The sequence below is a fragment of the Homo sapiens genome, chromosome 7 (assembly GCF_000001405.40).
Source record: "Homo sapiens chromosome 7, GRCh38.p14 Primary Assembly".
NCBI lineage: Eukaryota > Metazoa > Chordata > Mammalia > Primates > Hominidae > Homo > Homo sapiens.
In genome coordinates, this window is record NC_000007.14 from 22,773,184 (window position 1) to 22,798,012 (window position 24,829).

General features: G+C 41.7%; 1 pseudogene, besides 1 other annotated feature; it reads right to left on the reverse strand.

Annotated features, from left to right (window-relative positions):
• On the reverse strand, window positions 394-834 carry RPS26P32 (ribosomal protein S26 pseudogene 32; annotated as a pseudogene).
• Window positions 8,861-9,361: an enhancer, noted in NCBI's record as "H3K27ac hESC enhancer chr7:22821663-22822163 (GRCh37/hg19 assembly coordinates)". NCBI's record gives its function as "activates a minimal SCP1, AML or CMV promoter by ChIP-STARR-seq in primed H9 embryonic stem cells {active_cell/tissue: H9 hESC(primed)}" and the evidence as "EXISTENCE:reporter gene assay evidence [ECO:0000049][PMID:30033119]".

Consider the following 24,829-nt stretch of genomic DNA (forward strand, 5'->3'; position numbering starts at 1 on the left):
AAATATAATTTTATGCCTATAATCTAATAAAATAAACGGGCTTTTATTTTGTATGTTTTCTTTTCATTTAATTTTTCTAGCAATTTATTTTTATTGTCTTTTGCAAAAGAATTAGTCTGTGATGGAGTGGAAATTACAAAAAAAAAAAAAGCTAACCACAGTAATTTGAGAAACACTGATCCAGCTCACTCAAGCATGGTATATATATATTAGGTTTAACCAGATGAAACTGCCAATAATCTACCATTTTGACTTTCAAATGGCAGATGTAATATATGGATGTTTATTTTACGATTAGTCTTTAAAGACCAATTTCAAATAGTGGATATAACAAAGCCTCTGTTCTGACATGTATACACTTTGATCCTAGATAAGCCCCTACACTCTTTTTTTTTAAGTACAATGTCCATTTTATTTTTCTCCAGAGAATAGTCTGTCTTCAGTCTTTAAGAACTCAGCTCCTTACATGGGCTTTGGTGGGGGACGTGCGGCAGCACCCGCAGGTCTAAATCGGGGTGGGGGTGTTCGGTCCTTGCGGGCTTCACGAGATCGATTCCTGACTACTTTGCTGTGAATTACACAACTCACACAGTAATGTAGCTTCACACACAGCTTGGGAAGCACATAGGCATCGAAGACGCTCGCTTCAGAAATGTCCCTGACTGCTGCAGCCTCCACTATGTTTCGAATGACGAATTTCTTAATGGCGTTGTCCTTGGGCACGCATCGGGCACAGTTAGTGCAGCGAATAGGCTGCACGTGGCCGCGGCCCTTTTTGGCACGAACGTTGTTCCTTCTTTTCTTTGTCATCTTGGAGGCATGGACCGGAGAGAGCGATAAGCCCCTACACTCTTATTCTGGACCTATTTACTCCTGTGTTACATACAACCATCTAAGGCTTGGTTTGGTTTCTCCAGGATTCAACAAAATTGGAAATGGAAACAAGAGTTGCTACAGGTAAACTCACTGGCAACAGCATGAAATATCAAGTGGAGGAGACAGAAAAACTACAAAAAGTTGAAAATAGCTATCTGTGGCTATTTAATGATGGGGCAAATACCTTGCTATTTCTCAATAGACCCTAGAAACATCACTGTACCCACTTATATTTAAAGTCCTGAGTAATCAATAAAACAACAATTTGTATTGGTTACATTGATGGGGGAGTATATAACACATTTCTGATTCAAAATGCCGAATACACAGTTTTCGAGTTTAAAGAAGTAAATCCTCAGTTCTCCAAAGAATTCATCCATCTGGACAATTTTAGTCCCAAGTGAATCATTTCTACATGACAGCAGAACACAAAATTGATAGGATTCAGATATTATAATTAGACAGACTAAGCATTAAGACACACACACACACACACACACACACACACACACACATGCACGCACATATACTTTCCCACAGAAATCCTTGGGTATAACATTAATCACAATCAGCAGTTTTCCTTCTATTCAAATTCAGCTTCCAGGAAGATCAAAGCTGTTAAACTAACAAGGCTCTGAATAATTGCCTCGCTAGGACCTAGTTAAACCTGATTGAGACAGTCAGACCTTAGCTGTCATGTGTCCATCCATTTGTATCCCCCTTAATATGTCCTTGATATGAGAAGACATGATGGTATAGTTTGATATAATTTAAAAGAATATTACAATGTGTTGGGGATATCAATTACACCCAAGACCCCTGTAACCGTCCATACAATATCTTCCTTGGATGGCCAGTTGAGAGCAGCTCCTCTACCCATGTCCCAGCTAGGTGTACAGATGCTATTGGCCTGGAGCCAGGCCATTCTGGATGCCACATAAGGAAGAATGGGATAGGTCAGGGGACAAGATTGGAGGGGTAGATTGCAGTTAAGTAACTGCTGTAAACTCAGGAAAGAGACCATAGTTGACTCAAATAACACAGGTTTGAACTGCAAAGTTCTGCTTACATGTGGATTTTTTCAACAAATGTATTAGAAAAGATTTTGGAGATTTACAATAATTTGAAAAAAACTCACAAACCCGCAGTTGAGAAATATTTTAAAAATTAAGAAAAAGGTATGTCTTGAAGGCATAGAACATGTAGTTATCAATCTATTTTACCATTTACTACCATAAAATATACACGAATCTACCATAAAAGGTTAAAATTAATCAAAACACATGCAAACACTTATTCACAGTCAAGACAAATGTAACCAAATATAAAGATGTAGTATTAAATCATAACTACATGAAATTAAGTGTAGTAATACTATACTATTGTAATAATTTTGTAGCCACCTCCTGCTGCTACTGCAGTGAGCTCAAGTGTCACAAGTATATGCTTAACACCATGTAACACTAATTATCTCTGAGTGAACATTTCATCTTTCCAGTAAATTGTGTGTCACAGTAAAAAGTGACCTCTTCTGGTTCATCATGCTTAAGTGTAACACCATTTACCTTAATAACACCAGGGGACCCATACAAAGTGCCACTAGTAAATAATGCTGGAAATGCTCCCAAAAAGCAGAAAAAAAGTCATAACATTACAAGAAAAAGTTGAATTGCTTGATATGCACCATAGATTGAGATCTGCAACTCCAGTTGTCTGCCAATTCAAGATAAATAAATCCAGCGTAAGGACCATTGTAAAACAAGAAAAGGAAATTCGTGAAGCTGTCAATGCAGCTATGCCACTAGGTGCAAAAATTTTGCACTTTTTCCAAAACACCTTTCTGTCTCGTATTGAAAATGCATCTTTTACCAGACATAGTGGCTCACACCTGTAATCCCAGCACTTCAGGAGGCCAAGGCAGGCGAGACCATCCTGGCCAATATGGTGAAACCCCGTCTCTACTAAAAATACAAAAAATTAGCTGGGTGTGGTGGTGTGCACCTGTAGTCCCAGCTACTCAGGAGGCTGAGGCAGAAGAATTGCTTGAACCTGGGAGGCGGCAGTTGCAGTGAGCCTAGATGGCACCACTGCACTCCAGCCTGGCAACAGAGTGAGACTCTGTCTTTAAAATAAAGAAAATGCAGTTTTTATGCGGGGCAGGATTGCTATAAGAAAGGCACATCTATGGGCTCGAATATAATTAGAGAAAAAGTAAAGTCATTAAATCACAACTTAAAGGGAAAATGAAGGATATAAAACTGGAGAATTTAATGTCAGCAAAGGATGGTTTTATAATTTTAGAAAGAGGTTTTGCTTTAAAAATGTCAAGATAACAGGAGAAGCAACTTCTGCTGACCAAGAGGTGAGTTCCCTTATGCCATTAAGAAAATCATGGAGGAGGAAGGTTATCTGCCTGAACAGATTTTTAATGTAGATGAAAGTGCCCTGTTCTGGAAAAAAAAAAAAAAGAAATGCCACAAAGGATATTTATTAGTAAAGAAAAGAAGTGAGCTCCAGGATTTAAGGCAGAAAGAGAGAGGGTAACTCTACCGTTTTGTGCAAATGCAGTCAGGTTTATGACCAGGATTGCTCTTAACTAAAAAGCTGCTAACCCCTGAGATTTGATGAGAAAATATAAATACCAACTATAAGTATTTTGGTTATACAACAAAAAGGCCTGAACAACAAGAACACTTTTTCTGGATTTGTTCTATTGATGCTTTGTCTCTGAAGTCAGGAAGTACCTTGCCAATAAGGGGTTGCCTTTTAAAGTTCTTTTGATATTGGACAATGCCCCTGGCCACCCAGAACCCCAAAAGTTCAACATTAAAGGCCTTGAGATGGTCTACTTGCCCCCAAACACAAGGTCTCTAATTCAGCCACTAGATCAGGGGGTCATAAAGACCTTCAAGCTCATTACATAGTGCAATCTCTAGAAAGAATTGTCAACATTATGAAAGCGAACCTGATAGAACATTATGAAAGCCTGGAAGGACTACACCATTGAAGATGCCATCATTGTTATAGAAAAAGTCATGAAAGCCATCAAGCCCAAAACAATACACTCCTGCTGGAGAAAACCGTCCAGAGGTTGTACATGACGTCACAGGATTAACAACAGAGCCAATCAAGGAAATCATGAAAGAAACTGGATATGGCAAAAACAGTGGGGTGGAGGGGGTGGGTGATGAAGAGCTTCAAGATAGCAATCATGGAAATATTTAAGAGCAAATAGACACCACACTAGAGAAATTAACAGAAGATGGTTTGATGGAGACGAGTGCTTCTGAACCAGTGCCAGAGGATGAGGAAGATGTAGAAGCAGTGCCAGGAAACAAACTGACATTAGACAATCTGGCAGAAGGGTTCTGATTATTCAAGACTGCTTTGGACTACTTTTAAGACATGGACTCTGCTATGTTACAGGCACTAAAACAGAAGCAAACAGTGGAAGAAGGATCGGTACCATATAGAAACATTTTAAAATAAATGTAAAAGCACAAAAGTCTAACAGAAATTATGATGTATTTCCATAAAGTCACCCCGAGGGTGCCTGCCTCTCCTGCTCCCTCTACCTCTTCCACCTCTGCCACCCCCAAGACAGCAAGACCAACCCCTCCATTTCCTCCTCAGCCTACTCAGCATGAAGACAATGAGGATGAAGGCCTTTAGGGTGATCCACTTCCACTTAATAAATAGTAAGTATATCTTCTCTTCCTTATGATTTTCTTAATAATATTAATCTCTTCTCTAGCTTACTTTATTGTAAGAATACAGTATATAATATATATATAACATACAAAAGATGTGTTAATCTACTGTTTATGTTATTAGTAAGGCTTCTGATTAATAGTAGACTATAAGTAGTTAAGTTTGGGGGAAGTAAAAAGTTGTATGAGGGTTTTTAGACTGTGTGGGGGGATGGCACTCCTAGCCCTCACTTTGTTGAAGGGTCAACTCCATACTGTAATAGTCTAAACTAAGGAAGGGAATAAGAGTGTTCTCAGGAGATAAAACCACAGAGCTTGAGGATTGAATGAAAGAGAAAAGGAGCTAAGGATGACTCCCAAGTTTCTGGCTTAAGCACATGGAAAGATGGTGGAGGCATTCACTGACATTTTGAGAAAATAGATTTAGGGAGAAAATAAGTTTCATTTTTGACATGCTGTTTCTTCTTCTTTTTTTTTTTTTTTTTTTTTTTGAGACAGAGTCTCGCTGTATTGTCTCCAGGCTGGAGTGCAGTGGCTCAATCATGGCTCACTGCAAGCTCCGCCTCCCAGGTTCACACCATTCTCCTGCCTCAGCCTCCTGAGTAGCTGGGACTACAGGCACCCGCCACCACACCTGGCTAATTTTTTGTATTTTTAGTAGAGATGGGGTTTCACTGTTAGCCAGGATGGTCTCGATCTCCTGACCTTGTGATCTGCCTGCCTTGGCCTCCCAAAGTGCTGGGATTACAGGCGTGAGCCACTGCACCCGGCCCTCTTTCTTAAGATAATTTGTGAGATACCAAAATTAAGATATCCAGAATGGATATTGTTTTCTTACTCAGAAAAGACATAAAAGTTTGAGGAGTATTTAGAATTTCAGTGTTTCACACCTCATTCCTAAGTTATTTTTATATGGTGGAAAGAGCTGATATATACATAGCCTATATTTTGGTACCAAATCTGCTACAAACTAGCTGTATGACTAGAGAGATCACTGAACCTTTCTCAGCTTCTGTTTCTATAAGGAGATAGAAAAACTTGCCCTCCCTTATTCACAGGGTAGGTAATTCAAGTATGAGCATTTTGAAAATGAAAGAGGGAAACCAATGTCTGGAGTTACTATTGTCTCTTTTAAATTAAAAAAAAAAAAAACTAAGCTATTTATTTTCTTTGCTTTCATGAGGATATCATTCCTAAAACAGAAGGAGGCAAGATTAGAAGATTTTTGCACTTTTAAAACAGAGTTTTACACACACCAAAAGTTTTAAAGGAGCAATTTTACTGCAACTATTTTTAAAGAGCTCAGTATCAATTTTAAGAAATTCAGCAACTGACAGGTTTTTAATGAAAAGAATAAACCCTTCTGAGTTCTCATTTTCTGAAAGCTTTTCACGTTTTAAGAATTGAACCACTCAGCACAGGTTTTTCTGTTACCATTTTGAAGATGTTGGAAGTATTAAACATAAAAGCTGTCACTGTTAAAGAAAATACTTTGTAACACAAAAAGAGATGAGAGCATAAATGTTATGTGCGTATGCTTTTAAATCAGAAGTTCTGAGTTCTAATTCTGTCTCCATCAGTTAATAGCTATCTGAATGTAAACATTAAAATTAAACATTATTTAAATATTCTGACCCCCCCCCAGGTTTTTCTAATCTGTGAAATATAAATAATAATTGTATTATCCTCAGGGAGTGGTTAGAAGGATTCAATGAGACAGTATATTCAAAGCACTTAGCACTGTGCAAAAGAGTGTGAGAGTAATTAAATGGTCAAGAAATACATGTAGAGCTGATTGGCCTCCATAGTAATCAAATTAACAGAGTTTTTATTTTGTTGCTAATAACATTCAGTGATGGCAAGGTCAGAGAGAGAGGCATTCTATTCATAAGAGTAAATGGATAAAACTTTTCAGGAAAAAAATTTTGAAATATGCTGGTGAAAGCCTTAAAAATGTTTACACCAGATGCAGTGGCTTGTACCTATAATCTCAGCTACTCAGATGGCTGAGGCAGGAGGATTGCTTGAGCCCAGGAGGTTTAGGTTACATGCACTCCTGTCTGGGTGACAGAGCCAGATCTTGTCTCTTAAAAAAAAAAAAAAGTTACATTCTTTGAGTCGTTCCATTTTTAAGAATCACTTGTTAGAAAATAATCAGATATAGGCCAGGTGTGGTGACTCACTCCTGTAATCCCAGCACTTTGGGAGGCCAAGGCAGTCGGATCACTTGAGGTCAGGAGTTCAAGACCAGCCTGAGGAATATGGCAAAACCCATCTCTACTAAAAATATAAAAATTAGCCGGGTGTGGTGATGTGCATTTGTAATCCCTGTTATTCAGGAGGATGAGGCACAAGAATCACTTGAATCCAGGAGGCGGAGGTTGCAGTGGGCTGAGATTGCACCACCACACTCCAGCCTGGGTGACAGAGCAAGACTCTGTATCAAAAAAAAAAAGAAAGAAAGAAAGAAAGAAAAGAATCAGATATAAAGATGCAGAATTACATGTAAAAATCAGAAACTACCTAAATGTTTAAGTCCAGAAAAATGGCTTAATAAATTATGGTACATCACCTTCTGAACTGATGCACTGAGATTCAGAGAAGGGCACGTCATCCCTGTGGTATCCTTACCAAAAATGCATAACCTGAATTTAATCATGAGAAAATGTCAAGCAAACTCAAATTGAAGAACATTCTACAAAATAAATTGAGGTAATAAAAGACAAATAAAAATGAAGGAACTATCCCCAAATGGGGAAAACTAAGGAAACACTACAACTGAATGCATGACATGGTCCTCGATATTAGTGGAACAATTCATGAAATGTGGGTGAGGTCTGAAGATTAAAATATTGTATCACAGTTAATTTTCTGGTTTTGATCATTGTACATGATTATGCAAGATGTTAACATTTGCAAAAGCTGGCTGAAAAGTATACTAAAAATCTTTGTGCTGTTTTTGCAACTTTGGGTAAGACAAATTATTTCAAGATGAATATTTCTAAAATAGAAAAATTAAATAATGGCACATTCACACAGTGATTATGCAGCCATTTAAAAGGTTTGTAATTATTCTGAATGACACTGGAAAATGTTCACTACATAGCATTATTGGGAGAAAAAAAACAAAAGCCAGTTCACACACTGAAAACTAAAGCCCAGAATGAATCCACTAAAATCTTGAGAGGACATTTCTAAGTAGAAGATTACAGATGCTATGTTCTTAATTAATTTTTTAGTTTCATATTTCCCAATTTTTTCTACCATGAGCATTCACCACTTTTAAAATTGGGGGGAGGATGTTATTTTTAAACACACATCATGATTTTGCATCAAAAAAATTCATTTAGACATATTTCTTCTCCTTGGTTTTAATAAAGAACATTTTTTCAATGCTTTGAGTTTTCAAAACTATGATTTTGATAAGCCAACAATGAGCCTTAGCTTAAGTGAGTTTCTTAATTTGGCATCAGTAACCAAAAATGCTTAATGGTTTCCCTAACTACTTGGAAATGAATTCTTGGCACTATGTCTTCTTAAGTTCTGTGGGTCTCATGTTGAAACAGTTGCTTCATTTCCACTAAATAATTGGAACTATTCCCTGGGTCATCAGAGAAGCTCAAACCTATGCGCATCTGAATCTCAGTCAACAACAGAAGGAAGAGGAACCTAATAATTTCTCCTCAGCCTGTCACAAATCAAGAGAAGAATGCATTTGTGCTGAAGACCGGGAAATTAAAAAGAAAGCAGATTTTGCTGGGAGGCAAGTCAAGGTGGCCACCAGGAATCTTAGACCCCTCGGCTTCAGATGACCATCTTCTGAGTAATCAGGATGTTTAGCAAGGCATACTTGAGGGGGCGTAAAGCATGGCTCCTATCTCAAAATACCTCCTCTGTGAGGTAATGTACGTGACACTGCTGTGCACTTGTGTCTGTTCCTTCCATCCAGGCACTGGCCAAAAAAGCTGTATTTGCTTGGCTCTGGAAGAATTTTTAATTCCAAAATTTATCGCCCCCACTCCTACCATCAAAGTGCAATGTGTCATCTACCAACATTTCACTAAGCAAGTAATTCTAGAACAGAACTGGTTGCAGGCCCACCAGAGGACAAACAATGTGGGGAGCTGGATTCAGAAAGCACTACAGATGGGCACCTTGAAAAGAGAGGTGCAGGACTCCTGCAGCAAGTTCTGCCAAGCCATGGTCCTCTCTGGTGCCATCCTCCTTAGGCGTTCACCACTACCTGCTTGCCAGCATCAGCCTGCCTTCTCAGGGTTATGAGTACATCCCCTCCTCCATGCCATAAGCATTCCCCTAACCCCATGCTGACAAGCTCAATGCCAGGCCCCAGTTCATCTTTCCAGACTTCCAGCTCCCTGCCTCAAAGCCCAATTCCAGCCACAGTTCGGAGCTTTGTACATTGTTGCATCCTTACTTAGCTTTCAACCGCAACTGTATCCCTGCCATCTCTACTTCAATGTTATCTCTGCAGGCCAAACATAACCCACCAGCTGCCAAGGCATGCAGTACCACGCTCAGCCCATCGCTACCCGCCTGGACCCTTGTGGCCTCACCACTTGCCTCCTGAGCCTTCTGTGCCCCTCCCCTGGCCCACCTCCACCATCTGCCTTCTACACTCTGCCTGTCAGGGGCCCAGTCTCCCCACTAGTTTATACCATCTCCCATGTTCTATTTTTATTTGTGCTTGCCCTTGTTCCAGAAAAGACAAGACAACACATACTATAGTCCTACCATGTTTTCTCAGGTGGGCTTCTTAACCCATGTGGCTTCTCATTCTATTTGCCCTATGAAGCACAGGGAATCAAAGACAGCGTTTCTCTGTGACATCAATTCTCGCGCCATCTAAGACAGGTCAACAGTAATGGCAGAGGCCTTCCTCGTAGCAAAGGGAAAACAATAGCAAACCACTGATGTTGAACTACCAGCCAGAAGCCAAGTGAGATATTAAGACAGCAAAGCCACCAGCACCAGGACAGGAGCTCATACCTCTTACCAGATAGATGCTGCTCTCCCACTCCCCCTGCTGGACACCGAGGTCCTGGGGCGATGCTTCCAAAGTCCACAGTCCCCAAATGATCAGACACCCATGTTTGCCCCAAGAGGTGTAGACTAAACGTTAAAGAGAAGCCACACTTGCTAATCTCATATTTAATTATCTTCAATGCCAAATTAGAGAAATGGAGTACCCCTCAGTGGAAAAAGGTAGGTGCTACTTGTTAGGCAGACTGGCTGTGAGCCCCCATTCTGTCACAATCTAGTTAGGGTATTAGGAAAGTTGTTCCAAGTGTCCCTGGGCCTTAGTTTCCCCACCTGTAAAGCACAGGTGACACTACCCTCCCCATATGGTTGATATGAAGATTAAATGAGATAAATTGCAGGCATCCAATTGTTATTGTCCACACCGATTGGCAACTAAGCTCTTGGCACACAATCTCTTGGCACCCCAGTGGCTTCATCTATGTAATTCCAATAATACCTGCTCAGCCTACCTGTGAGACTTGGCTGGGGCAGATGAGAGAACAGATGTTTGTCAAAGCACTCTGTAAATCATTAAGTGCTATGCTAATTCATCAATGACAACAACACCTGTCTGGCACTTTGAAGAGACACAGATGACAATGGTAGTTTTGATCTTTGTGGAGATTTGGAAATTTGTGGATGAAATAAGCATGCATGAGAATAACTGTACTTCAAATAGGAGATTGACTGCCATATTAGTAATAAAGAAAAATAATAATAGGAATGAAAAGAAAAGAAAATTTGATTTGCCTGAGGCAGAGGGTCGAGCAAGAATCACAGATGACCTCATGAGTGTCTCATGCTGCAGCAGGTCATAAAGACAAGTAAGATTGCTGTCAGCAGAGATGAGGAGAGGGCCTCCCAGACCCAAGAAAGAGTGAGGGCCACGATGCAGAGGAATGATGGTTCTGGGGATATGAAGAACTCCAGCTTGACCGCACCCTGCGATGAGGTGCCACAGTGGAGAATGGGGTTATGAGGACAGGTTGGGACACCATAGCGTTCTGTGAGATTGAACATGACAGCCAGGCAGTGCAGAGCCATCTAAGCTTTGTGAACAGCATGTCTGAGGAAGTTTACCAAAGACAATGTGAAGGCTGGCATGAGATGGGGAGAACAGGGGCAAATACAGGAAGGAATCATGATTGCCAAAGAGAGATGGGGGCCTGAAGTGATTCAGGATGCACAGGGGAAAGAAGAGATCAAAGGAAGGGACAAATATAAATGGAAGGTATTACGACCATAGTGCTCATGACAAAGAACCACATTTATCACTCAGTTCCACATGTACCAAAGGAAAATATCAGAAAGATGTCATGAGCTCAAATTAATAGTGATCTTTGGTAATTTACAAAAGGATAGAAGCAGTAAGATGAAGTAACACAAAGCACGTCTCTTACAGACTTCTAGAATTAACAGGGAAAGTAGGAGATGTGGTGCAATTACTTATCATCTGGGTAGGTGAATTTCAGGGGAAGAAAATCTCAGCAATATGCATTTAATCAACATATACTTTGATATCTGCTTTTGCCTAAGAAGTTCAGTAATGTCTTACAAATTGTGTTATGTTTCAGCATATCAAGTTCTGCTTGTAGCTCACTCACAATCATCCAGCACAATGGGGAATTTATCTTGCTGGTATTTCCAGGGAGACTGGGAAACAGCCAGTACAGATCAAACCTTTTCACATCATCACACTATTCACTCTACTGGTTAGAGATAACAAAGACAAACACAATAGGGAATGGTCAATTTATAGCAACAAGGACGAGGCTCATGTTTCTTCAGCATACTTCCTAACATGTCAGCAGTAATTACCACATATTAAAATAAGCCAGACTGGGCACAGTGGCTCATGCCTGTAATTCCAACACTTTGGGAGGCCAAGGCAGGAGGATCACTTGAGACCAGATGTCCAAGACCAGCCTTGGCAACATAGCAAGATTCCATGTCTACTAAATAAATAAATAAAAAATAAATAAATAAATAAATAAATAAAAACAAATAGCTGGGTGTGGTGGCATGTACCCATAGTCCCAGCTACTCTGGAGGCTGAGGCCAGAGGATCGCTGGAGGCCAGAAGTTCAAGGGCCCTGTGAGCTATGATTACAGAACTGCACTCCAGCCTGGGTGACAGAGTGAGACCCTGTCTCTAAAAACAAATAAATAAAATTAGCCATTTCAGTAAGCATATGCTCCCAAATTAAGAAACCTTGTTCCTTATTCCATGACAACTTCAGGGGAAAACATATTTTTCCATTTTTTGGAAGTTTTAAGACATATATGCTCAATGTAGAAAATAAAACCAAAAATAAGAGCATCCTCTGGTGTATGCTAAGGTTGTAAAAAAATTAAAAAAAGAAAGAAGAGCTAATATCCTCCAATATACTATGATTAAGATCAATATTTACTCATTGTTAATCTTTGGGAATACTTCCTTCTAGTTTTATTTCTGTGCTTTTTAAAGAAACATGTTGGCCGGGCGCGGTGGCTCACACCCATAATCCCAGCACTTTGGAAGGCCGAGGCGGGCGGATCACGAGGTCAGATCACGAGGTCAGGAGATCGAGACCATCCTGGCTAACACGGTGAAACCCAGTCTCTACTAAAAATACAAAAAAAATTAGCCCAGCGCGGTGGCAGGCGCCTGTAGTCCCAGCTACTCGGGAGGCTGAGGCAGGAGAATCCCTTGAACCGGAGGCGAAGGTTGCAGTGAGCCGAGATCGCGCCACTGCACTCCAGCCTGGGCGACAGAGTGAGACTCCGTCTCAAAAAAAAAAAGAAAAAGAAAAGAAACATGTTAAGATTACATTATATTTGAAGCTCTGAATTCAGGGCTAAAAAAAAATTAGACTACAAATATGTTGCATTCTTGTATTTTGTTTTGCTCATCATAACAAATATTTCTCCCATTGTTGAAAGCTGGAAGACTCCACTCACAATCCATATTTCTTTAACAAGACAAAGAAGCGAATGTGTATTAATTTAGTAGTGTAATGGGGACTTCCAGTTCCCAGTCCAACATTTAAAGAGCTTGGAAGTCATTGTTCTCATCTTCACAACAAAATGACCTTGTGTAATTCCCTCTTGAGTGTGGGATGGATCTAGTCACTTGCTTCTAATGAATCAAATATGGCAAAAGTGATATACCACTTTTGATATTAGGTTACAAAAGACTGTAACTGACTTCTGTCTTGCTAAATATCTCCCTCTCTTTCTCTCTGGTTCTTTTTGCTGGCTTGTTCTGATGCAAGCAAGCTGCCATGCTGTGAATTATCCTATGGAGAGGTCCACATGGCAAGGATAGAGTTTAAAATCAGCAAGGGAATTCCCTAAATCTGAGGTTTGATGTTTTCATTAATCCTGAAAAAAAATCTCAGTCATTATTAACAAAGGGCATAGGCCAGGTATAAGATTCCAGTTGTCCTCTCCCAATGGAGTTGCACAGACAGTGCTAAATTCTCCCAGCAATGATGTGTGACAATAGATGTGAAGTGTTGCCTACTAGAAAAGCTCACCCAAAGGTTGGTATCCAGGGCTTTTATGGAGTAACCACATGACTAACCTTAACAATGTAAGTCTCTAGTTGCCCTCAGAGGTCAAATTGGTAAGGCAGTGGCCTAGGCCCTCAGGCAAAAAAACAACAAAAACAGGTGTTCATCTTAAATTACATTGTTAATATATAATATCCAGAAGGGCCCATGGCCTCAGGTATACAAATAAACTCTCATGGTGGGATTTTACAAGGGCTTGGAGCTTATCAGCAGGTGGTCAAAGTCCGGTCCTAAAGACATTTGGAATGTGTGGTGTTTGGACAACCCAGGCCTGCTGCGTTAACTCTTTACTGCCATCTGCCATCCTGCCTGCCTTTACTGACAGGAAGCCATCAAGGAAATAGTTGCCTAGATAGCAAAGAGCTCACCAGATGGTACTGGAATTGGGTGCAGTGCTCCCTGGTGCTGTGTGCCCCTTCCCTATGCAGGCAATATGCCCTCAGTAGAACATGTGCTAGAATATGGCCATTCAAGCAGGAAGGGCATCAGTGTTCCTAGCAACGTGGCTGAATAGTCCATCAGTGTGAAGATCTTGCAGGAGGTTCAAGCCCAGGTAAGGTGTTAGGTAGAGTGTGAGTTTACTGCCCTAGAGTGGCAGTGTGATGCAGAGAAATAAATTGTAGGTTTAGAATGAGGACACCTGATCCTGTCATTTTTTCCAACTGGCTTTAGGACCCTCATCTGAAATATTTTCCTATTTATAGATGGGAGGCAATATTGCGTAGCAAGCAAGAGTGCTGGCAGGGCAAGTTCAGTGGGAAAGCAACTTGCGCAGGCACAGAGAGCCCTGTACTCAAAATAACCCTAACCACGGTTTAATGCTCTGCTGTCACCATCTTGAACAATGTTCAAACAAGGAGCCCCATATTTTTGTTTTTCACAGGGCCCCATAAATTATGTAGACTCTCCTGGTGCCAGGTCTGGAGTCAGCCTATGGGTTCAAATCCCTGATCTATCATTTTTAGATGTATGAACTAGGGCATAACATCTAATACCTTTTAGACTTGTTTCCTTGTCTATAAACAGGATTTTAAAAGATTGTTGTGAAGATTAAGGAAATAATATATGGAAAAATATAGCGTTGTATATACATAAATACAGTCATTCCTCAGTATCCATGGGGGATTAGTCCTAGGACCCCCTCAGGTGGCAAAATCCATGGACACTCAAGTCCCTTATATAAAATATTTACACATAACCTATGTACTATCCTCCCACGTACTTGAAATCATCTCTAGATTACTTATAATACCAAATACAATGTAAATGCTATGTAATATTTGTTATACTGTATTTTTTAATTTGTTGGGTTTTTTTTATTTTATTTTACCAGGGAGGCCTGAGAGCCTAGAAAATTTTGTATTATTTTTCATTGTTGTATTTTTTTTATTATTGGGGGTAGTTTTTGTTGTAGTTTTCAAGGCATGGTTGGTTGAATCCATGGATGTGGAACCCATGGATACAAAGGACCAACTTTAGTCATGGGTGGTAACTATTATTTGTTCTCAACAATAAATAACAATAAAATAAAATAATATAAATAATAACAATAAACAATAATAATAGCTATCTATTGCTTTGTAACAAATTACCCCAAAACTCAGTGGCTTAAAACAACAACACTTATTATCTCATGGTTTCTGTGGGTCAGAAATGCCAGTGCAGTTTAGCTAGATCCTCTGGCTCAAAGCCTCTCACCAGACTGCAATCAAGGTGTCAGCCAAGGCTACAGTCATCTTAAGGTTGAACTGCAGAAGACTCTGTTGCCAAGCTCATGCACATGGCTGTTGGCAGGATTCCTAGTAGACTGTCAGAATGAGGGCCTCAGTTCCTTGCTGGCAGTTGGCTGAAGGACACCCTCTGTTCCTTGCTATGTGGCTCTCTCCTTAGGACAATTCACAACATGGCAGCTTGCTGGCATCAGAACAAGCAAAAAGAGCCAGGGAGAGAGACTGAATCAGACAGAAGTCACAGTCTTTTGTAACCTAATATCAAAAGTGGCATAGCATCACTTTTGCCATATTTGATTCATTAAAAGCAAGTGACTAGATCCATCCCACACTCAAGGGGAGGGGATTACACAAGATCATTGTTACAAACTGAACAGAATCATCCTAAAACTTAAATGTTGAAGTTCTAACCCCTAGTACCTTAGAATGTGACTGTATTTGAAGATAAGGTCTTAAAAAGGGTAATACGGCTAATGAAGGTATATAGGTGTGCTTAACTCCAATATGACTGGTGTCCTTATAAGAAGGGGAAGGGGCTGGGTGCAGTGGCTCATACCTGTAATCCCACTTTGGGAGGCGGAGGTGGGATGATAGCTTGAGCCTGGGAGATTGAGGCTGCAGTGAGCCAGGATCACGCCACCGCACTCCAGCCTAGGTAACAGAGCAAGACCCTGTCTCAAAAAAAAAAAAAAAAAAAAAAAACAAAAGCATACCAAGGATGCACGTGCCAGTGGAGAGGCCAGGTAAGGACACAGTGAGAAGATGGCCACCTACAAGCCAAGGAAAGACACTTCAAGAGAAACTAAAACTGTCAACAGGTCTGGTTGGACAGGTTTGATCTTAGACTTCTAGCCTCCAGAACTGTGAGAAAATACATTTCTCATTTAAGCCACCCAGTCTGTAGTATTTTGTTATAGCAGTGCTGACAAAAAGAGTCAAACTCTGTAAAATATTGTAAGAGATTTATTCTGAGCCAAATATGAGTGACCATAGCCCGTGACGCAGCCCTCAGTAGGTCCTGAGAACATGTGCCTAAGGCGGTCTGGGTACAGCTTGGTTTTATATATTTTAGGGAGGTACAAAACAGCAATCAAATATATTTAAGAAATACATTGGTTTGGGCCAGGTACGGTGGCTCACACCTGTAATCCCAGCACTTTGGGAGGCCGAGGTAGGCAGATCACAAGGACAGGAGTTCCAGACCAGCCTGACCAACATGGTGAAACCCATCTCTACTAAAAATACAAAAATTAGCCAGGTGTGGTGGCGGGCACCTGTAATCTCAGCTACTCGGGAGTCTGAGGCAGGAGAATCACTTGAACCCAGGAGGCAGAGGTTGCAGTGAGCTAAGATTGCGCCGCTGCACTCCAGCCTGGGCAGAGAGCAAGGCTCCATCTCAAAAAAAAAAAAAAAAAAAAAAAAAATGAGGTCACACAGATGATTGCAGGATGCTGAAGGCAGAGAATTTTATTGAGCCATGAAAACGGCTCTCAGCGAAGAGGAGAGTTGGAAAGGGGACGGGAAGGGAAGGTCGTCTTCCCCGAAGTCAGGTTGTCTCTTCTCTGAAGTCAGGCCATTTCCCCTCTACCAAGTCTGGGGTCTTTATAGGCACATGATGGGGGCAGGTTGGGCCATAGGTAGTTTTGAAAAAGGCAACATTCAGTTGGTAAAGAAAAAAAAGGCATTATTCAGAAAGAACCAATCAGGAGAGAACAGGCAAACAGCAATAGAAGTTCTCACTTTGGGCTGCCGGTTTCAGGCTGTTTTTTTGTTTGTTTGTTTGTTTGTTTGTTTGTTTTTGAGGGTGAAGGTGGGGTTTCACCGGGGACCCGATCCTGTCTGCCCAGAATTTCTCTGCCTCCTATCTCTATTATTATTTAAGAATTTAAAACTTAAGTAGTCTTTTTTCTTTTTTGAGACAGAGTCTTGCTCTGTTGCCCAGGCTGGAGTGCAATGGCGCGATCTCGGCTCACTGCAACCTCTGCCTCCTGGGTTCAAACAGTTCTTGTGCCTCAGCCTCCCAAGTAGCTCAGACTACAGGTGCTCACTGCCACACCCAGCTAATTTTTGTATTTTTAGTGGAGATGGAGTTTCGTCATGTTGGCCAGGCTGGTCTTGAACTCCTGACCTCAAGTGATCTGCCCACCTCGGCCTCCTAAAGCACTGGGATTACAAGCGTGAGCCACTGCATCCATCCAAAACTTAAGTAGTTGTAGCATGCAGAACATTAAAAAGACTTTTAGGTTCACCCCCATATGTCCTAATATGTTGTATTTCAAAATGTTGTTTTATTTGAGATTAGGCCTATCTTGTTTGCCATCATTTTTAGATCTATGCATTCTCTGATATAATCAGAAAGCAAAATGACAGTCACACATTTTCTTCCAACTGAGCTTTAAAAAAAAAAACCGAAAAAGCATTGACATAGGCTGAGTTTCCTACAGCTACAGGCTTTCAGAGAGGAATCTTATACTTTAAAAAACAGAAATTAAACTAACAGCTCTACAGAGATCTTTTCAATGAAAAATAACTCACAGGAGTTCTTTTCAAAGCATTTAAAAATTCTCATAATCTACTCATCCACATCAACACTTTTAATTAGAGCCTCTGTTTACTTAAAAGGAAGTATAACCAAAAAAGAAATCGAAAGAAAAATAAGATCAAGCCAAGCATATACGTCAACTCCATCTCTCATTGACAACTGTGTCAATTGAAAAAATAGGCCGGGGGCGGTGGCTCATGCCTGTAATCCCAACACTTTGGGAGGCCGAGGTGGGTGGATCACGAGGTCAGGAGTTGGAGACCAGCCCGACAAACATGGTGAAACCCTGTCTGTACTAAAAATACAAAAATTAGCCGGGCGTGATGGCACGCGTCTGTAATCCCGGCTACTCAGGAGGCTGAGGCAGGAGAATTGCTTGAACCCAGAAAGCGGAGGTTGCAATGAGCCGAGATCGCACCACTGCACTCCAGCCTGGACAACAGAGCGAGACTCTGTCTCAAAAAAAAAAAAAAAAAGAAAAAAGAAAGTTGTCTCTAACTTCCAATTCCAGCCATGACAGAGTAAGTCTTAGACTTAGCTTTCCTACCATAAACTGGCCAAAATAGATAAAACAATTTTCAGGGATTGGACACCAGTTAAAACAGTTATGATGTTTGAAAGAAACCAAACGAAGTGAGCTTCATGTCCCCCACTGCTTGGGAAGTTGAGTCCAAGTGGAAAGTTGCATTTGTATAGGGCAGAGGAAAGAGAAACTAGAATTTGTGCCTGCCACAGTGGCTGGGATTTGGAAGCCAGGTGCTGCAGAGCAGGGAATCACACAGAAGAGGACTTCAGAGATTGAACCCTGAAAGTTTATAAACATTCTTCTCAGGTCCTTGAGCCCAGGCCATATGACCTGACTGTAGGGTAAGACACCCAGGGTCTATCAGAGAATAACTGCTGGGAGGCTGGAGAGCTAAACGGAAATCTCAGAGGCCACACAGTGCTGGGAATGTGGTGGCATTCTAATCCAGCCAGGGTAAAGAAATATTGGTGAATTCCCAGACTTCCAGATGAGTCACAAAGCAAAAAAGGTCATGTCCTAAAAATGTACATTACCCTCTAGGAGTAAGGATTATACCCGAGGAGTAAGGTCAAAACTGATGTAAACCCACCATAGCAAAGCCTAAACCCAATTTTCATCAGAATTAAAATTATCTGTCAATAATTTAATTGCCAGCCAGAACAAAATTCAACATTCTTTGGAGGAAGTTAACATGATCCAGAGTTTCTATAAAATGTCATTCATAATATCTAGCATGAAAAGTTTACCAGGCAAGAAACTGGTTAAAGTTACTAATAGCCAGCCAGGCACAGAGGCTCATACGTGTAATCCCAGTGCTTTGGGAGGCTGAGATGGGAGCATTGCTTAGAGACAAGAGTTTGAGACCAGCCTGGGCAACAAAGCAAGTCCCTACCTTTACAAAAAACAAAAATAAAAAAAGTAGCCAGGCATGGTGGCACACAGCTGTAGTCCCAGCTACCCAGGAGGCTGAGGCAGGCAGATCACTTGAGCTGGGAGTTCAAGGCTGCAGTAAGCTATGATTGTGCCACTGCACTCCAGCCTGGATGACAGAGCAAGACCCTATCTCTAAAAAAAAAAAAAAAAATTTTATTTTTATTTTTACTTTTTAAGTGACTAGTAGCCAAGAGATGGAAGCAGGTAGAGATGATCCAGATATTGAAGTTAGCTAGAAAGACTTCAAAATAACTATAATTAATATGTTAAAGAAAAGAGGGGTAAAGATTGACAATGAGAATGAAAAGATGAAGTATAAAATCAGAGAATTAGAATCTTTTTTAAAGAGAATTAAGTAGACATTCAATATTTGTAAAATACAATATCAGAAATTAAGAATTTATCAGCTGGATTCACAGTGCAAAAGAAAACAAGATTAATTAATTTGAAGACAGGTCAGAGGAATATATCCAAACTGAAACACAGAGAGAAAAAATAACAGTCACCTTAAATATATTATTTGGGAGATACTCCCCTCATTCACTCCTCTTTTTATTCTCCTTTCTCCCAGGCAACTTATTTTTTCTAATAAGAAAAAGCAGGTGAGAGTGGGATGTAAAATAATACGTGGCTATGGCCGGGCACAGTGGCTCATGCCTGTAATCCCAGCACTTTGGGAGGCCAAGGCAGGCGGATCACCTGAGGTCAGGAGTTTGAGACCAGCCTGACCAACATGGAGAAACCCCGTCTCTACTAAAAATACAAAAAAATTAGCTGGGCGTGGTGGCACATGCCTGTAATCCCAGCTACTTGGGAGGCTGAGGCAGGAGAATTGCTTGAACTTGGGAGGCGGAGGTTGTGGTGAGCCAGGATCATGCCATTGCACCCCAGCCTGGGCAACAAGACCGAAACTCTGTCTCAAAAAAAAAAAACAAACAAAAAAAAACAACTTGGTTGGGCACAGTGGCTCACGCCTGTAATCCTAACACTTTGGAAGGCCGAGGTGGGAGGACGCCTTGAGCCCAGGAATTCAAGACCAGCCTGGGCAACACAGGAAAACTCCATCCCTACAAAAAACACAAAAATTTACAAAAAAACACAAAAATTTAGCTGTGTGAAGTGGCATGTGCCTGTAATCCTAGTTACTCAGGAGGCTGAAATGAGAGGATCCCTTGAGCCTGGGCATTCTAGCCTGGGCAATAGAGCAAGACTCTGTCTCAAAAATAAAATAAAATAAAAATTTAAAACAAAATATACCAAGAGAAGCTTGGAAAAAAAATTTGCTCTAATCAAAGTCAAACGACAAACTGGAAAAATACCTACCAATCATATCACAGATATAATTTCTGTAAAATACAAAAGGATCTACAGGCTGGGTGTGGTGGCTCACACCTGTAATCCTAGAACTTTGGGAGGCTGAGGTGGGAGGATTGCTTGAGTCCAGCAGTTCAAGATCAGCCTCGGCAACATGGCAAGATCCCTTCTCTATCATTTAAAAAGTAAATAAATAAAAGGACCCATAAATCAATATGAAAAAGGCCAACATGCCAACAGAAAATGCGCTAAAGGAAACACAATGGTTCTTAAATATATGAAAAGATTCTCCATCTCACTCAAAGCAAAATAGTAACTAAATCTATAAAACACCATGTTTCATCAGTTTGGAAAGACCATTAAGTTTGATAACACATGACTCAGCAAAGGTATGGACAAAAGGGGCTCTCACTAGAGTTTTCAGAGATCTACTCTCCCAAACATACATCACTCTGCCATTCCTAGAGTCTGGCCTTTCTCCTCCTGATCCAAGATAGCTATCATCCAGTCATTTCACATCCATTTCAAGAAACATACTTCCCTTTCAGGAAGACTTACCCAAAGTACCACACAACACTTCTGCTTACATCTCAATTATCAAATATTAGTCATAGAGCTATATCTAACAGCAAGCCTGGGAATCTTGTAGCTTGGTTGCCACATAGCCAGCTAAAAGTGACACTTTGCAAGAGAGCGACAGAAATGGATTTTTGTTAGGCAATTAACATTCTCTGCCATGCCTACTTCTTTGATTGCCAAATATTGATACACGCTTTCTCATATACAGAACACAATGAATCTCTCCCAGGGATACAGTTCTCAAATTTCATCCAGATACTGCATCCAGGTCAAAGTTCAGGAACTCTGGGAAATATGTACCTTCCATCTGGTACAGACAGCATCTCATGGTCCAGCAATCAAAAAACTTAAAAATGAGTTAACTGCCCCCAACTTACCCAACATACAAAGGTGGAGTAGGAGCAAGATTAAAACATTGAGGCCAGGCGCAGTGGCTCACGCCTGTAATTCCAGCATTTTGGGAGGCTGAGGCAGGCGGATCACCTGAGGTCAGGAGTTCGAGACTAGCCTGACCAACATGGAGAAACCCCATCTCTACTGAAAATACAAAATGAGCCAGGTGCGGTGGTGCATGCCTGTAATCCCAGCTACTTAGGAGGCTGAGGCAAGAGAATCACTTGAACCCAGGAGGCAGAGGCTGCAGTGAGCCGAGATCGCGCCACTGCACTCCAGCCTGGGCAACAAGAGCGAAACTCCGTCTCAGGAAAAAAAAAAAAAAAAAAAAAAAGATTAAAACATTGAAACTGCCCACCAGGAAAGGGGAGAAAGGAAAGCCTGCTATAGTCACTGGTCTACAGCAATATTAAATCTTATGGGGCAGGAAGAGTGACTTCCTTCCCAGGCAGTACCTGGGACCTTCAGTTGTGCTCTCTGGGAAACTCCTTTGGAGGCTTCTAGTTTTGCCCTCTGAGGTTGTTTCTTGTCCACTATCTTCTGTGGCCTCATCTTAAATAGGCATTAGGGAGCATCAGCGAGCTGCAGACCTTCCATAGCTCACTCTTTATTAGTGGTTGTATTAGTCGGTTTTCACACAGCTGATAAAGACAAACCCGAGACTGGGCAATTTACAAAAGAGGTTTAATTAGACTTACAGTGCCATGTGGCTGGGGAGGCCTCATAATCATGGTGGAAGGCAAGGAGGAGCAAGTCATGTCTTACATGAATGGCAGAAGGCAGAAAGAGAGCTTGTATAGGGAAACTCCCATTTTTAAAACCATCAGATCTCATGAGACTCATTCACTATTATGAGAACGATGCATGATAGACCTGACCCCATAATTCAATCATCTCTCACCGGGTTCCTCCCACAACACATGGCAATTGTGGGAGTTACAATTCAAGATGAGATTTGGGTGGGGACACAGGCAAACCATGTCATTCCACCCCTGGCCCATCACAAATCTCATGTCCTCACATTTGAAAACCAATCACACCTTCCCAATAGTCCCCCAAAGTCTTAACTCATTTCAGCATTAACTCAAAAGTCCACAGTCCAAAGTCTCATCTGAGACAAGGCAAGTCCCTTTCGCCTATGAGCCTATAAAATCAAAAGCAAGGTAGTTACTTCCTAGATATTTAGAGGTACAGGCACTGGGTAAATGTACCCATTCCAAGTGGGAGACATTGGTCAAAACAAAGGGGCTACAGGCCCCACACAAGTCCGAAATCCAGCAGGGCAGTCAAATCTTAAAGGTCCAAAATGATCTCCTTTGACTCCATGTCTCACATCCGGGTCACGCTGATGCAAGAGGTAGGTTCCCATGGTCTCGGGTAGCTCTGCCTCTGTGGCTTTGCAGGATACAGCCTCCCTCCCAGCTGCTTTCATGGACTGGCATTGAGCATCTGTGGCTTTTCCAGGCATGTGGTACAAGCTGCCAGTGGATCTATCATTCTGGGGTCTGGAGGATGGTGGCCTTCTTCTCACAGCCCGACTAGGTGGTGCCCCAGTAGGGACTCTGTGTGGGGGATCCCACCCCACATTTCCCTTCTGCACTGCCCTAGCAGAGGCTGTCCATATGAGGAACCCATCCCTACAACAAACTTCTGCCTGGGCATCCAGGCATTCCCGTAGATCTTCTGAAATCTAGGCAGAGGTTCTTAAACCTCAATTCTTTTTTTGTTTGTTTGGTTTGTGTTTTTTGTTTTGTTTTTTTGAGATGGAGTCTTTGCTCTGTCGCCCAGGCTGGAGTGCAGTGGCACGATCTCGGCTCCCTGCAAGCTCCGCCTCCCAGGTTCACGCCATTCTCCTGTCTCAGCTTCCCAAGTAGCTGGGACTACAGGCACCTGCCACCACGCTTGGCTAATTTTTTTGTATTTTTTAGTAGAGACAGGGTTTCACCGTGTTAGCCAGGATGGTCTTGATCTCCTGACCTTGTGATCCTCCTGCCTCAGCCTCCCAAAGTGCTGGGATTACAGGCGTGAGCCACCATGCCCAGCCTTAAACCTCAATTCTTAACTTACGTGCACTCACAGGCACAACATCACATGAAAGCTGCCAACGCTTGAGGCTTCCACCCTCTGAAACCATGGCCTGAGCTCTATGTTGGCCCCTTTCAGCCATGGCTGGAGCAGATGGGACACAGGGCACCAAGTCCCTAGGCTCCACACAACACGGGACGCTGGGCCCAGCCCACGAAACCACTTTTTTCTCCTAGGCCTCCAGGCCTGTGATGGGAGGGGCTACAGAAAGTTCTCTGACATGCCCTGGAGATATTTTCCCCATTGTCTTGGTGATTAATATTTGGTTCCTCATTACTTATGCAAATTTCTGCAGCCAGGTTGAATTTCTTCTCAGAAAATGGGATTTTCTTTTCTATTGCCTTGTCAGGCTACAAATTTTTTGAACTTTTATGCTGTTTCCCTTTTAAAACTGAATACCTTTAACAGCACCCAAGTCACTTCTTGGATGCTTTCCTGCTTAGAGATTTCTTCTGCCAGATACCCTAAATCATCCCTCTCAAGTTCAAAGTTCCACAAATCTCTAGGGCAGGGGCAAAATACCACCAGTCTCTTAGCTCAAACATAACAAGAGTCACCTTTGCTCCAGTTCCAAACAAGTTTCTCATTTCCCTCTGAGACCACCTCAGCCTGGACATTATTGTCCATATCATTATCAGTGTTTTGGTCAAAGCTATTCCACAAGTCTCTAGGAACTTCCAAACTTTCCCACATCTTCCTGTCTTCTTCTGAACCCTCCAAATTGTTCCATCCTCTGCCTGTTACCCAGTTCCAGAGTCGCTTCCACAGTTTTGGGTATTTTTTCAGCAGCGCCCCACTCTACTGGTACCAATTTACTGTATATGTCCATTTTCATGCTACTGATGAAGACATACCTGAGACTGGGCAATTTACAAAAGATAGACGTTTAACTGGACTTACAGTTCCACATGGCTGGGGAAGCCTCACAATCATGGTGGAAGGCAAGGAGCAGCAAGTCACATCTTACATAGATGGCAGCAGGCAAAAAGAGCTTGTGGGCCATCGCAGTGGCTCACGCCTGTAATCCCAGCACTTTGGGAGGCCAAAGTGGTTAGGAGTTTGAAATCACCCTGGCCAACATGGTGAAACCCTGTCTGTACTAAAAATACAAAAAAATTAGCTGGGCATGGTGGTGCATGCCATAATCCCAGCTACTTGGAGGCTGAGGCAGGAGAATCGTGTGAACTCGGGAGGCAGAGGTTGCAGTGAGCCAAGATGGTGCCACTGCACTCCAGCCTAGGCAACAGAGTGAGACTCCGTCTCAAAAAAAAAAAAAGAAAGAAAGAAAGAGAGAGAGGGAACTTGTGTAGAGAAACTCCCATTTTTAAAACCATCAGATCTCATGAGACTCATTCACTATCATGAGAAGAGTGCATAAAAGAGCCACCCCCATAATTCAACCACCTCCCACCAAGTTCCTCCCATGACACATGGGAATTATGGGAGTTAACAATTCAAGATGGGATTTGGGTGGGGACACAGACAAACCATATTAATGGTGCAAGTCTAAGTTTTCTTGAGAAAAAAAGTGTTTTTCCTCACCCTGT